General features: G+C 42.1%; 1 protein-coding gene across 24 annotated transcripts in view; it reads left to right on the top strand.

Annotated features, from left to right (window-relative positions):
• TENM3 (teneurin transmembrane protein 3) overlaps positions 1-12,602 on the top strand; it is a 1,355,412-nt gene that overhangs the window by 981,910 nt on the left and 360,900 nt on the right. The window lies entirely within an intron of this gene.

Here is a 12,602-nt window from a genome sequence, read left to right on the forward strand (position 1 = left end):
TATTAGTTTTTTACTAATTTATTGCCTAAAATGACTAATTGAATTTGACATTTCCATTAATGCCAAGGAGTAAAACTGTTTTGCCATAACAACTTAAATGAAATTCAAATGATTAGTTTTGAAGTTTGGAAAATTTCTAAATCTTTATTACCATGGAATCCAGTGGTCATCTAACAGCTGCAGTTGTATTAACCATGGTAATTCAAAATTGCCACAAATTTGGTTCAGGTACCAACATTTATTTACTCAGTGCTTACACATAGTACCATAAGAGATTGAACGATGAATAAAATAGGAACACTGCCTTTGAGATCTTACTAGTTCAGCACTGTAATAGCTATGTTCCTAAAGTATCTCATTTAATACAACTTAAAACAATCCAATGACATGCGTATATTACTCCTATTTTACAGACATATTTGAGGCTCAAAAAAGTTAGTTTTCTGAAAATTACACATCCAGAAAGTGTAAGAGGCAGAATTTGAACTGAAGCCTGTCTGACTCCTGCGTCTGTGGTCTTTAGTTTTCACCATTCTTCAATGCAGTATTATCACTGAGTGACATGACGCAGCTGTGTTTGTGGTCGGGAGGATAACATAAGGCAGCAGGTGGAAAAAACATTTGATTCATTTGCATTTGCTAGTTTATCATTGTAGAGAAAAATGTTATTAGGCCACTTCTTCTGCAAAGAGGCAAGGTATATTTGAGGAGCAGATTGTAGCACACTTAAAAAGAACGACTGTAGGCCGGGCGCAGTGGCTCACGCCTGTAATCCCAGCACTTTAGGAGGCCGAGGCAGGCGGATCACGAGGTCAGGACATCAAGACCATCCTGGCTAACACGGTGAAACACTGTCTCTAGTAAAAATACACAAAATTAGCTGGGCGTGGTGGCAGGCACTTGTTGTCCCAGCTACTCGGGAGGCTGAGGCAGGAGAATCACTTAAACCCGGGAAGGGGAGGTTGCAGTGAGCCAAGATTGTGCCACTGCACTCCAGCCTGAGCAGCAGAGCAAGACTCCATCTCAAACGAGAAAAAAGAGAAAGATTGTAGAGTGGGTTGAAGAAAGGCAGTAGATTAAGATTAAAAAGAAAGTCCAGTGCCTGAAGGCACGCTGCTCATGTGTGTCCTCCTAAGGATATTAGGTTTGGCTTTGTCGATCACAAAGCAGAGATCTGAGCAGGTTTGTGTTTTTGAAAGATAACTTTGGGCTGGGCGTGGTGGCTCACGCCTGTAATCCCAGCACTGCAGGAGCCGAGGCGGGCGGATCACCTGAGGTCAGGTGTTTGAGACCAGTTTGGGCAACATGGTGAAACCCTGTCTCTACTAAAAATACAAAAATTAACTGGGCATGGTGGTGGGCACCTGTAATCCCAGCTACTCGGGAGGCTAAGATAGGAGAATCACTTGAACCCAGGAGGTGGAGATTGCAGTGAGCCGAGATTGTGCCATTGCACTCCAGCCTGGGTGACACAGCAAGACTCCATCTCTAAATAAATAAATAAATAAATAAATAAACAAACAAACAAACAAACAAATAAATAACTGACTTTGGTAGCATGGAAAGGGGGTACTGATGAGGTGAGAAAAGGGGAGACAATGAATATTTAGGATGCTATTACAAAGAACCAGGTATAAGGTGATAAGGGTCTAGGTCTGGATGGTGCTTTCATGAATAGAAAAGGAGGGATGAGGCCGGGCGTGGGGGCTCATCCTGTAATCCCAGCACTTTGGGAGACCGAGACAGGCGGATTATGAGGTCAAGAGTTCGAGACCATCCTGGCCAACATGGTGAAACCCCATCTCTACTAAAAATACAAAAATTAGCTGGGCGTGGTGGCACATGCCTGTAGTCCCAGCTACTCAGGAGGCTGAGGCAGAAGAATAGCTTGAACCCGGGAGGTGGAGCTTGCAGTGTGCCGAGATCGCGCCACTGCACTCCAGCTGGCAACAAAGCGAGACTCCCTCTCAATACAAAGAAAAGAAAAGAAAAGGATGGGTGAGATTCAAGACCTAACTAAGGAACAACAGAAGCATCAGGATTTGATAATGGATTTTACGTAGGACTTGGAGGAAAGACAATTGAAATTTCTACCTTGGTTAACTAGATGGAGAGCTATGTGAACTGAGACACTAGGGACACGGGGAATGCCTGCAGGGGTCAGGGTGGCAGGTGGCATTTGACTTTGGATGTGTCGCATTAGAATTACTTATGAGTAGCCACAGTAAGCACTGGACATCATGGTGTAATACAATCAGAAATGAAGAGCCAGGGCCGGGCATAGTGGTTTACACCTGTAATCCCAGCACTTTGGAAGGCCAAGGCAGGCAGATCACCTGAGGTCAGGAGTTTGAGACCAGTCTGGGCAACATGGTGAAACCCCATCTCTACTAAAAATAGAAAAATTACAGAGGGTGGTGGCGGGTGCCTGTAATCCCAGTTACTCAGGAGGCTGTGGCAGTAGAATCGCTTGAACCTGGGAGGTGGAGGTTGCAGTGGGCCGAGATCCGAGATCGCGCTACTGCACTCCAGCCTGGGCAACAGAGAAAGTCTCAAAAAAAAAAAAAAGAAAGAAAGAAAAGAAAAGAAAAAAAGTAAGAGCCAGGGGAATACAAGAGAGAAAGAGATTAATGTTGATTAATTGGTCCAAGAAGGCTTTGAGAAGAAGACGACATGAAATGCCAAAGAATAGATAAAATTTCTACGTGTAAAAGTTGAGTAAAAAGGCATTTAAGGTAGGCTAGGAATTCACAATGTGTTTTATGTTCACTATTTTGTTGGACATCAACCTAAATTTGCACCCATTTTGATATATTTTTGTTATAATTTTCTCTGACATGCAGAAGTCTTTACATTGGATTGTAGTCAGGTTAAATGCTTTTGTATATGTTAAATGCTTTGCATGATATACAACGTTATTCCACCAACATTAAACCAATCATGCTTAACAATGTAAATTATTTTTAGGACAATATGTACAATGTAATAACTGCTGTGATAATTATGTTTTCTTCATACAGTGAATATATACAAAAGCCAAGTGATGACCAACCTTGAGGGGACAGGAAAGATTTCAGGACAGAAGAGGAGACATCTAAGTTAAGGCATGAAGGACAAATAGGTGTTAGCCAAGGAAGGATGCTCTTCCAGACACAGAGGAGAAATGTCCTGGCCAAAGTGGTAGAAACCACGGCTGAAGCCAAAACTGCAAGGAGAGGCGAGGCCACAAAGGATCTTACAGGCCCTACTAAGGAGCTTGGATGTTATCCCAATGGCACTGGGGGGTCATTTACAGTTTTCAAATTTTTCATCAGGGAATGGATTTGGGTGTGTGTGTGTGTGTTTTAGTAGAGATGGTTTCACTATGTTGGCCAGGCTGGTCTTTAACTCCTGACCTCAGGTGATCTGCCTGCCTTGGCATCCCAAAGTGCTGGGATTACAGGCTTGAGCCACTGTGCCTGGCCAGGAAGTGAATAGGATCCTATTTTTAAACAGGTGTTTCTGAATGCAGTGTGAAGAATGTGTTGGAGGAAAACACAAATAGAGGAAGGTATGATACTGCATTCAAGTGAAAGATAATGATTGCATTAGCAGAGGTAGTGATTGTGGTGATGGAAAATATTTTGAATCTAACCAGAGGGCCTGTGGATAGATTTCGCATGGTGAGTGGGGGAAGACAGTGCCAATAAGAGAAGATGTTGGAGAATGGCATCTAGATATTTTCCTGAGCAGTTAAGTGGATAGAGAGGTTTCATTCATGGACGCAGGGAATGCAGGATGAGATACGAGTTTGTGGAAGAGGACTATTTCAGCTTTACAATAGGTGCTTGTGGGACATCCTACAGAAGACATTAAACAATTGGATATGAGCCTGGCTGAAAACCGAAGTCATGGAATAGCATAATTTGTGAGGTAAACCTTGGAAGATGGCAGTGATTATGAAAGTCAGAGACAAAGAAAGAAGGAGACAGAAGAAAGGGAGGACGAGAGGAAGGGCAGCTAAGCAAAGGAAGTGACGTGATGTACAGAGGGCAGAAAAAGGGTAGGGGCATGACTGAGAAAAATCACTTCGTCAAGTGCAAGATAAAACTCGAGTGGTCTCCTGAAATAATAGGCTGAGGAATGGGAGTTACTCTCAAGTCAGTAGCATTCAATGAGGATTTGAACATGGGAGGAGCATTTGCAAATATGTCATTAGGAAGATTTAACTAGAATATGGGTTGGAGTGTGAATACAGAGGCCATGTAATAGATTATTGAGATATCTAGGATAGTTATAATGAGATTTTTGAAGGAGAGTCATTTTGATGGCTGGGTGGCGTGATGGCTCATGCCTGTAATCCCAGCTCTTTGGGAGACCAAAGTGGAGGATGACTTGAGGCCAGGAGTTTGAGATCAGCCAGTGCAACATAGTGGGAACCCACCTCTACAAAACATTTTAAAAATTAGGCTAGCATGGTGGCATGCTTGTAGTCCCTGCTGCTCGGGAGACTGAGGCAGAAGGATCCTTTGAATTTAGGAGTTTGAGGTCGCAGTGAGCTAGGATTGCACCATTGCAATCTAGCCTGGGTGACAGAACAAGAGGCTGCCTCCATTAAAAAAAAAAAAGGTAGAGTAGTTTCAGAAGAAGTAAAAAGAAAACATGGATGGAACAGATCATTGTGAAAATAGAAGTGCTACAATTACTTCTCATTGAACATGGTGAGGACCGGGAAAGGAGGTGACTGAGAATGGTGATAACCTTGAGAAAAAAAGGCAAAATCAGAAGCAGGACCTGTTTTTGGAAATATGTAACTTGCTCTGCATGTAGAACTTTATAGTTGTACTTCATAGAATTAAAATTAAATAATAGTATAGCTGGCTGGGTGCCATGGCTCACACCTATAATCCCAGTACTTTGGGAGGCCAAGATGGGTGGATCACCTGAGGTCAGGAGTTCGAGAAAAGCCTGGCCAACATGGTGAAACACCGTATCTACTAACAATGCAAAAATTAGCCGAGCGTGATGGTGGGCACCTGTAGTCTCAGCTACTCGGGAGTCTGAGGCAGGAGAATCACTTGAACCCAGGAGGCAGAAGTTGCAGTGAGCCAAGATCGCACCACTGCACTCCAGCCTGGGAGACAAAAAAAAAAAAACCGTATATTGGTATACTTTATTTTTAAGGTTGCTTTTTTCTGCTTGAGCTTATCAAATTGCACCCCAGAGATTATTATCAGGGTATATTTTTCTTTTACCACACACTACAAGAGAAAAAAGACTTAGAAATCCATTCACAAGGAATCTCCAATTAGAGGACCGGTAATCTTTGCCAAGGGTGATGATTGGTCATCTTGGCTAGGCTGGACCTCTACGGAGAAGCTGAAAGACAGCCACACAGCTCAGCCTGGGGTCTGAGCATATCACTTCAGCAGTGATCAACAGAACAATGAGTACAGGAAAGGCATGGAGCATTTCCACGGGAATTGCCAGGACACAAGTTGTTCTTTTGCTGGCATCTTTGAAGTCTATAAAAATATAATTCTGGAAATATCCCAAGAAGAATCTGATGCAAAGTCAAACACATCGAGAATGCTAGATGCCATTTCCATTTAAGTAACTGTCCGTTCTGGGGGTGAGGAGAAGTGTTTGTCATAGTCTTTGCTGGTGGTCTCTCCGGTTCCACGGTTTTATGGAAGTTACGGTTTTGTTCAGTAGAGTCAATTCTCCCTGCCAGACCACTACAGAGAGCTATTTTCCTTCAACTGTATTGCTTCAGACAGTCTACAAATATGGTGTTTATTACATGACTTCTTCTATCTTAAGTGTTTATACTGCAGGTGAATTTTTTTTCTTCTGTGACTTGACTTGTGAGTTGGTTGTTATTGTTTTCCTTTTTCAGCAAGTCTTTATGCCAGGAAAAAGCGTTTTGATTCCCAACAAGCCAACAAGAAAAAAGACGGGGGATCCTAGCCTATAGACCCAAGTGTTAAGATGCTTTTTAAGAGAGGGGCAATTGGAAGCTGCTTGTAATATGGAGATTAGATATTCTGTCTCCAGCATGGGAACAGGGCTGGCATCGGTGAACAGGCAACTGCTTGCCTGCCTGCCTGCCTTCCTTGGGCCAGATAAAGGCCCAGAAGGAGCAGCTGCCAGCCGGGAGGAATGTGAGAAAATAGGAAATTGATTTGAAATAGAATAGGGAAAAAGGCACAAGAATTAATTTAAGAATTTTCAAAGATTCCCTTTTTAGGCATATGTAGTTCCTGCCTCTGCAGAGGAAGGTGATCTTTAGCTATTTTCTCATGAGATTAAAAAGGCATCAAACTCACAGTTAGTACATACATAAGGAAGACCTGAAGTTGGTTTATTTCTCCATAATTGGAAGAAAATTGAATATAGATTTATATTTTACTCTTTGGAAAGTCTTGTTGATCCTTCAGAAAAAAAAAAGAAATGGCATATTATAAATATTCTAACTCTAGGCACAGGAAAAATAGTGCTTTTTTTTTCTTTTTACTAGATACAGTGATATTAATTAAATTTCACATTAACCAGAGGGGGCTGGACAGCTTTCTGTTTGACTGTGAAGGTCGTAGGGACTCTCATTTTCTATTGACAGCAGTTCCTTTGCTTTAACAGATGCCTTTAGGCATATCATAATGTCTCTCTCCACTTCTTTGCTTAAGGGAGTATGGGGAGTCATGTTAACAATATTTAGGATCACTAATAAGTAAGGGAGATGTTTCCCTTATCCAAACGGACCGAGTTCCGAGTGCGTAACCCTGTGAATAGGATATCCTGGGAGAACATCATGGAAGGGGCAGGATTCACAACGACTGCAGCTTTGTCTGTCTTCGGGGTCATACTCACCAGCTGCCCTGTGAGAAGGCAGGGGATTGAGCAGTAAGCTTCGAGTTCCTTTTAGGTTGCAGCATTTGGTGGTGCTGCATAATCTCTTCTGTTAGGAAACTGGTGATGCGCTCTAACGTGTGTGACACATACAAAGAGCCTCCTATTTGTGGAACGCCTTATTTCAAGTTGTTGATAAGACACCGAATCATTGGAAAAGAGAGATCTTGCAAAGTATGTACACCTTCGGTAGGAAGAATAAAAGCACATGATATGGCTGTGGTTAGATCCTTGCCACCACCAATTTAATAAACATATGATAATATAGGTCACACACACCTTGTTACCTCTCTTGACTTCTAAAAAATGCACCAGTGCAATTCTTGGCCAGGCATGGTGGCTCACACCTGTAATCCCAGCACTTTGGGAGGCCAAGGCGGGCAGATCATCTGAGGTCAGGAGTTCGAGACCAGCCTGGCCAACATGGTGAAACCCCATCTCTACTAAAAATACAAAAATTAGCCAGGCGTGGTGGTGGGCACCTGTTATCCCAGCTACTAGGGAGTACTAGGGAGGCTGAGGCAGGAGAATTGCTTGAACCCAGGAGGCGGAGGTTACAGTGAGCCAAGACTGTGCCATTGCACTCCAGCCTGGGCAGCAAGAACGAAACTCCGCCTCCAAAAAAAAAAAAAAATGCACCAGTGCTATTCTCATGAAGGAAAGAACTTCTCAACTTCTCACCTCTTAAATGCATTGAAATGTGCCTACTATCTTAACACACCAAATGTTACCATATGGGGTAGAATAAAGACAAAAATAGCTGTTCTCTAAATCGTATATGCATTAAGAAGTTAACATTTGGAAATAGCTGAGTGAGCTTCTTTAATTCATTCTTCAAAATAAACAAACCAAAGCTTGATCTGTAATTTTATAGTGGATAGATAGGCAACAAACTCAGGAGGGTAGAAAGGGAAAAACCTTAAGAAAATGAATGAATTTTAAAATACAGCTACTGAGGCCAGCCATCGTTGCTCACTCCTGTAATCCCAGCACTTTGGGAGGCAGAGGTGGGAGAATCCCTTGAGCCTAGGAGTTCAAGATCAGCCTGGGCAACATGGCAAAACCTTGTCTCTACAAAAAATACAAAAAAAATAGCTGATGGCTGGCTGGGTGCGGTGGCTCATGCCTGTAATCCCAACACTTTGGGAGGCCAAGTGGGCAGATCACTCGAGGTCAAGAGTTAGAGACCAGCCTGGCCAACATGGTGAAACTCCATCTCCACTAAAAACATAAAAAAGTTAGCCAGACGTGGTGGTAGGCGCTTGTAATCCCAACTATTCTGGAGGCTGAGGCAGGAGAATCACTTGAACCCAGGAGGCAGAGGTTGCAGTGAGGTGAGATCGCACCACCGCACTTCAGCCTGGATGACAGAGCGAGACTCCGTCTAAAAAAAAAAAAAAATATCTGGGCGGGCACCTGTAGTCCCAGCTACTCCAGAGGCTGAGATGGGAGGATTGCTTGAGCCCAGGAAGCAGTGGTTGCAGTGAGCCGAGATAGCACCACAGCACTCCAGCCTGAGCAACAGAGCGAGATCCTGTCTCAAATAAATAAATAAATAAATAAAGCAACAGAAAACTATTATCCTAAGACATTAAAGAAACTGGAGGAACCTCCTGGATGGCCATTTAAAGGTTGCAAGTGATCTGAGAGATTTCTTTTTAGAGGGAAAAAATGAGACCCAGATAACTTAAGAGTTACCAAGGTTACACAGCTGGTCAGAAGAATAATATCCTGAACCCAGGTTTCCTGATTTCTAGAGAATTTATAGAGAAGTAGAGAAATTCTTGAAGGGTGAGCTGTGATGTTTCTTTGCTCCTTTAGTGTGCAAACTATTTAAGCTATTTTGTTTCTTTTAAATTATTTTATTTTGCAGTGAGTTCATTTTTATCATCAACTGCAGTGACCATTATTTAAGTAGTCTAAAGCTTAAAGATATCTGCTTGTCTGAGTTTCAGCCATGCATTTTCCTGGCGCTGGTTATGAAACTACATGTTTTTATTAAAGTTGGTAGAAATCATCATCACGCAATAGAGTAAGCTTTTTTATGGCATAGATGCCCAGAAATAATTTAAGGCCTTTCTCACTAATCATAAATTGCTGTTAATCAGAAACTGACTTGTTTTTTTTCCAGTTAGAAAATTCCTCATTCTAGCCATCCTTATGAAACCCTGCCAGAAATTCCTTGAAGGTAAATTTGCCCAACAACCACTGTAGAATACAACCAAAAAAGATGCAGTTATTCAACATACACTTGTACCTAACTTTGAGAACATTTTTACTTATGCTGGCTGCTTATATCATCTGTACTGAGGCTATCTTAGACTCTGTAGTTAAGGTGACATAGTGATATATTGATCTAATGAGTAATATTATGAAATTAATTCTAAAATACTCTAACTTCTTCTGCCTTAATTTTTAAAATTCATTTGAATGATCACATTGTACAAAGCTTTTGTTGAAAATCTTGCAAAGGCCTTTGGCCAAAAATAACATAGTTCTACATATTTTTACAGTGGTTTCTATTTCAGTCAAATGGCCACCAAGGATGATAGGCTCTGAAACATCTGGATGGTCCAGTGTCAAAATCTACACGTGGACACTTGCCTTTGTGGTCAGGATCTTCAGTTTGCCATGGCCTCAGGAGTTACATTTAACTTGCTCAGCATCGATTAATAGATGCCCTTATTTTGCCTTTCAATGACTCCAGATCTTTTGCAAGACTCAATTCCCTCTGTACAGATACATCTGTGAAGTTTGTTATCACTCTGAAGCTGAAAGTCCCCAGGACTAGACAGTAATTGAGTTTTCCTTACCTGACAGCCTCTGACTCTACCTGTTTTTCACTCTCCCTTCTCTCCTCTTTTTAGAGAACTCTCTTCTCCTATATTACTTACTGTGTATGTTTCTATGATTTCCCTTAAGCTGCTGAAGTTGCCCCTAGCAAGACCCTAAGCACATTGGCTTTTTATAAACCAAGACAGACCCTAGGTAGAAATTTGCCTAAAAGAATTTGTATATTTTTTCCTACAGGGTATTTTAAATAATGGAAATACGGTTTTCTACTTTAGTTTTAATCTAGGGATGTCCTGTGACGATTAAACAAGGCATTTCATGTGAAAGAACCTAAGGTGTTTCAGGCACATAATAGGCATTCAATAAATGTGAGAGGAATTCAAATCTAGAAGGTTTGAAGAAAAAATCTGGTGTGTAAACTAGCTGTCTCTATTTCCCCACCATCCACTTGGTTTTCAATACCCATTACCTCTGACATTCACCCCATTATTCTACTAGAATTATTCTCCTTTAGATCGAAAATTGCTTCTTCCTGCCAATTTCAAGACCTTTTCTTCAATCATTAGAAGTATTAATCTGTAACATGTATCTTTGTTAACCATCACCCACACCATTCCCTGTCCCAATTCTTGAAATCTCTACTTGGGGCTTCTTCGTCGTTTTACACTGCAGATTCTCTCCAACTTCCCAGACGGTGCCTTCTGTCTCCCCATTGGGTGAACTTCCTCTCTCTGGCCCCTCTATGTAAGCATCCACCAAGATTCCAGCTTGGCTGGTTGCTGTCTTCGTTTACTCATTGCCTCTGAAATCTCATCTGCTCTCGTAAGTATCACTGTTAGGGAACCAGGTTAGTAAATCTACATTATAGAACGAAACCCCCTTCTTCCAGCTGCAAACTCCTGGTGGGCACCTTTTTTTTTTTTTTTTTTGACGGAGTCTCGCTCTGTTGCCCAGGCTGGAGTGCAGCCGTGCGATCTCGGCTCACTGCAACCTCCGCCTCTCGGGTTCAAGCGATTCTCTGCCTCAGCCTCCCAAGTAACTGGGACTACAGGCACGCACCACCACGCCCAGCTAATTTTTTTGTATTTTTAGTAGAGACGGGGTGTCACCATCTTGGCCAGGCTGGTCTTGAACTCCTGACCTCATGATCCACCCGCCTCGGCCTCCCAAAGTGCTGGGATTACAGGCGTGAGCCACTGCAGCTGGCTCTGATGGGCACCTTTAAATACAGATAGCCAAAGCAATGCTCACTTCACTCCATTTCGTTTCTCTACGCCATTTGTCTTATCATAGAGCTTTCTACTCTTCCTGGGCCTACATGTCTAGATCTACAGCCTGATGACTCAAAGGTGATGGTTCTCAGCTACCTCCACCCCCAGTCCTACAGAGGAAGTTCAGAGAAGAGCCTTTAAGAAGATGAAAGAGATGAAAAACAGACCCATGAGGAAATGGTAGTAATAATGAGTTTAACATGACGATGTGGATTTTAAGGGAAGATTTGAGAATAATTATCATTAAGTATATGAAAGGTCCTTATTGAGAAAATGGTGACCAGCTGCTCCTCACTTCTGCGGAAGACCGTGCGGAAGGCATTGAGCATAAATTGTAGCTCTAGAGGTTTTTTTTTTTTTCGACTTTTATTTCAGGTTTGGGGATACATGTGAAGGTTTGTTACATAAGTAAACACGTGTCACGGGGTTTGTTGTAGATATTATCCCATCACCCAGGTATTAAGCCCAGTTCCCGATAGTTACCTTTTCTGCTTAAGTTAGAGACTCTTAAAATAGAATTGCCCTCAGTAAACAATGTAAAACATTGTAATGTATTACTTGGAATGGCTATGGCACGGAAGGGCTTTTTTTTAACCAAATAAATTCATCTGTGTGTGGTGTAATTTAGACTGGATTATATCTGAGAGCGATCTGGGAGGGTATCACAAAATTAGATCATGTATTAAGTTTATGTTCGGTTTTATAATCCTGTAATTTTTATAAACAAAAAATGTATGTATAGATTTTTCTAAAATAATGACCTTGAACTATCAATGGTGCTAGGTGACATTAGGTCACAGCCTCTGCCCTCGTGAGGTTTATGTTAGCTTAGGAGTATGTGAGAGAGACACAGACAGACAGACAGAAAGAGAAAAAGAAAACAATAATTACAGAATAGTGTGATGTATACATAGGAAAGAATCATTTTAATCAGCAAGCAATTTTTTAAAATCTGGATTCTTCATTTCCATTGACCCATCCATTCATCCATCCATCCACTCATTCCCAAACCAGCATTTATTTTATTTATTATTATTTTTTGAGATGGAGTCTCGCTCTGTTGCCCAGGCTGGAGTGCAGTGGTGCAATCTCCGCTCACCACAACCTCTGCCTCCCAGGTTCAAGTGATCCTCCTGCCTCAGCCTCCCTAGTAGCTGGGACTACAGGCACGTGCCACCACGCCCAGCTAATTTTTGTATTTTTAGTAGAGATGGGGTTTCACTATGTTGGCCAGGCTGGTCTTGAACTCCTGACCTGATGATCTGCCTGCCTCGAACTCCTGACCTTGTGATCTGCCCACCTCTGACTCCCAAAGTGCTGGGATTATAGGCGTGAGCCACTGTACCTGGCCCAAACCAGCATTTATTTGGTGTCTCTTTTGTGCAAGACACTATGCCAAATGTTAAGAAATCAGCAAAGAAATCGTCCCTATGCTCGTATGTTCGTGGTCTGGAAGGAGCTACAGACAAGTAGACAGGGAGCAGAATATAGTACGATGAAGGCAGGAAAAGAGTATTTACGGAGCTGAATGGGAATGCAGAAGAGGGGCCCATAAACTATTCTTGGTGAATCAGGCAAGGCTAAATGGAAGAACTGACTTCTAAGCCAAGTTATGAGCAAGCAGAAATTGGTCAGCTAAAATGCAGAGGT

Source organism: Homo sapiens, chromosome 4, assembly GCF_000001405.40.
Source record: "Homo sapiens chromosome 4, GRCh38.p14 Primary Assembly".
Classification (NCBI taxonomy): Eukaryota; Metazoa; Chordata; class Mammalia; order Primates; family Hominidae; genus Homo; species Homo sapiens.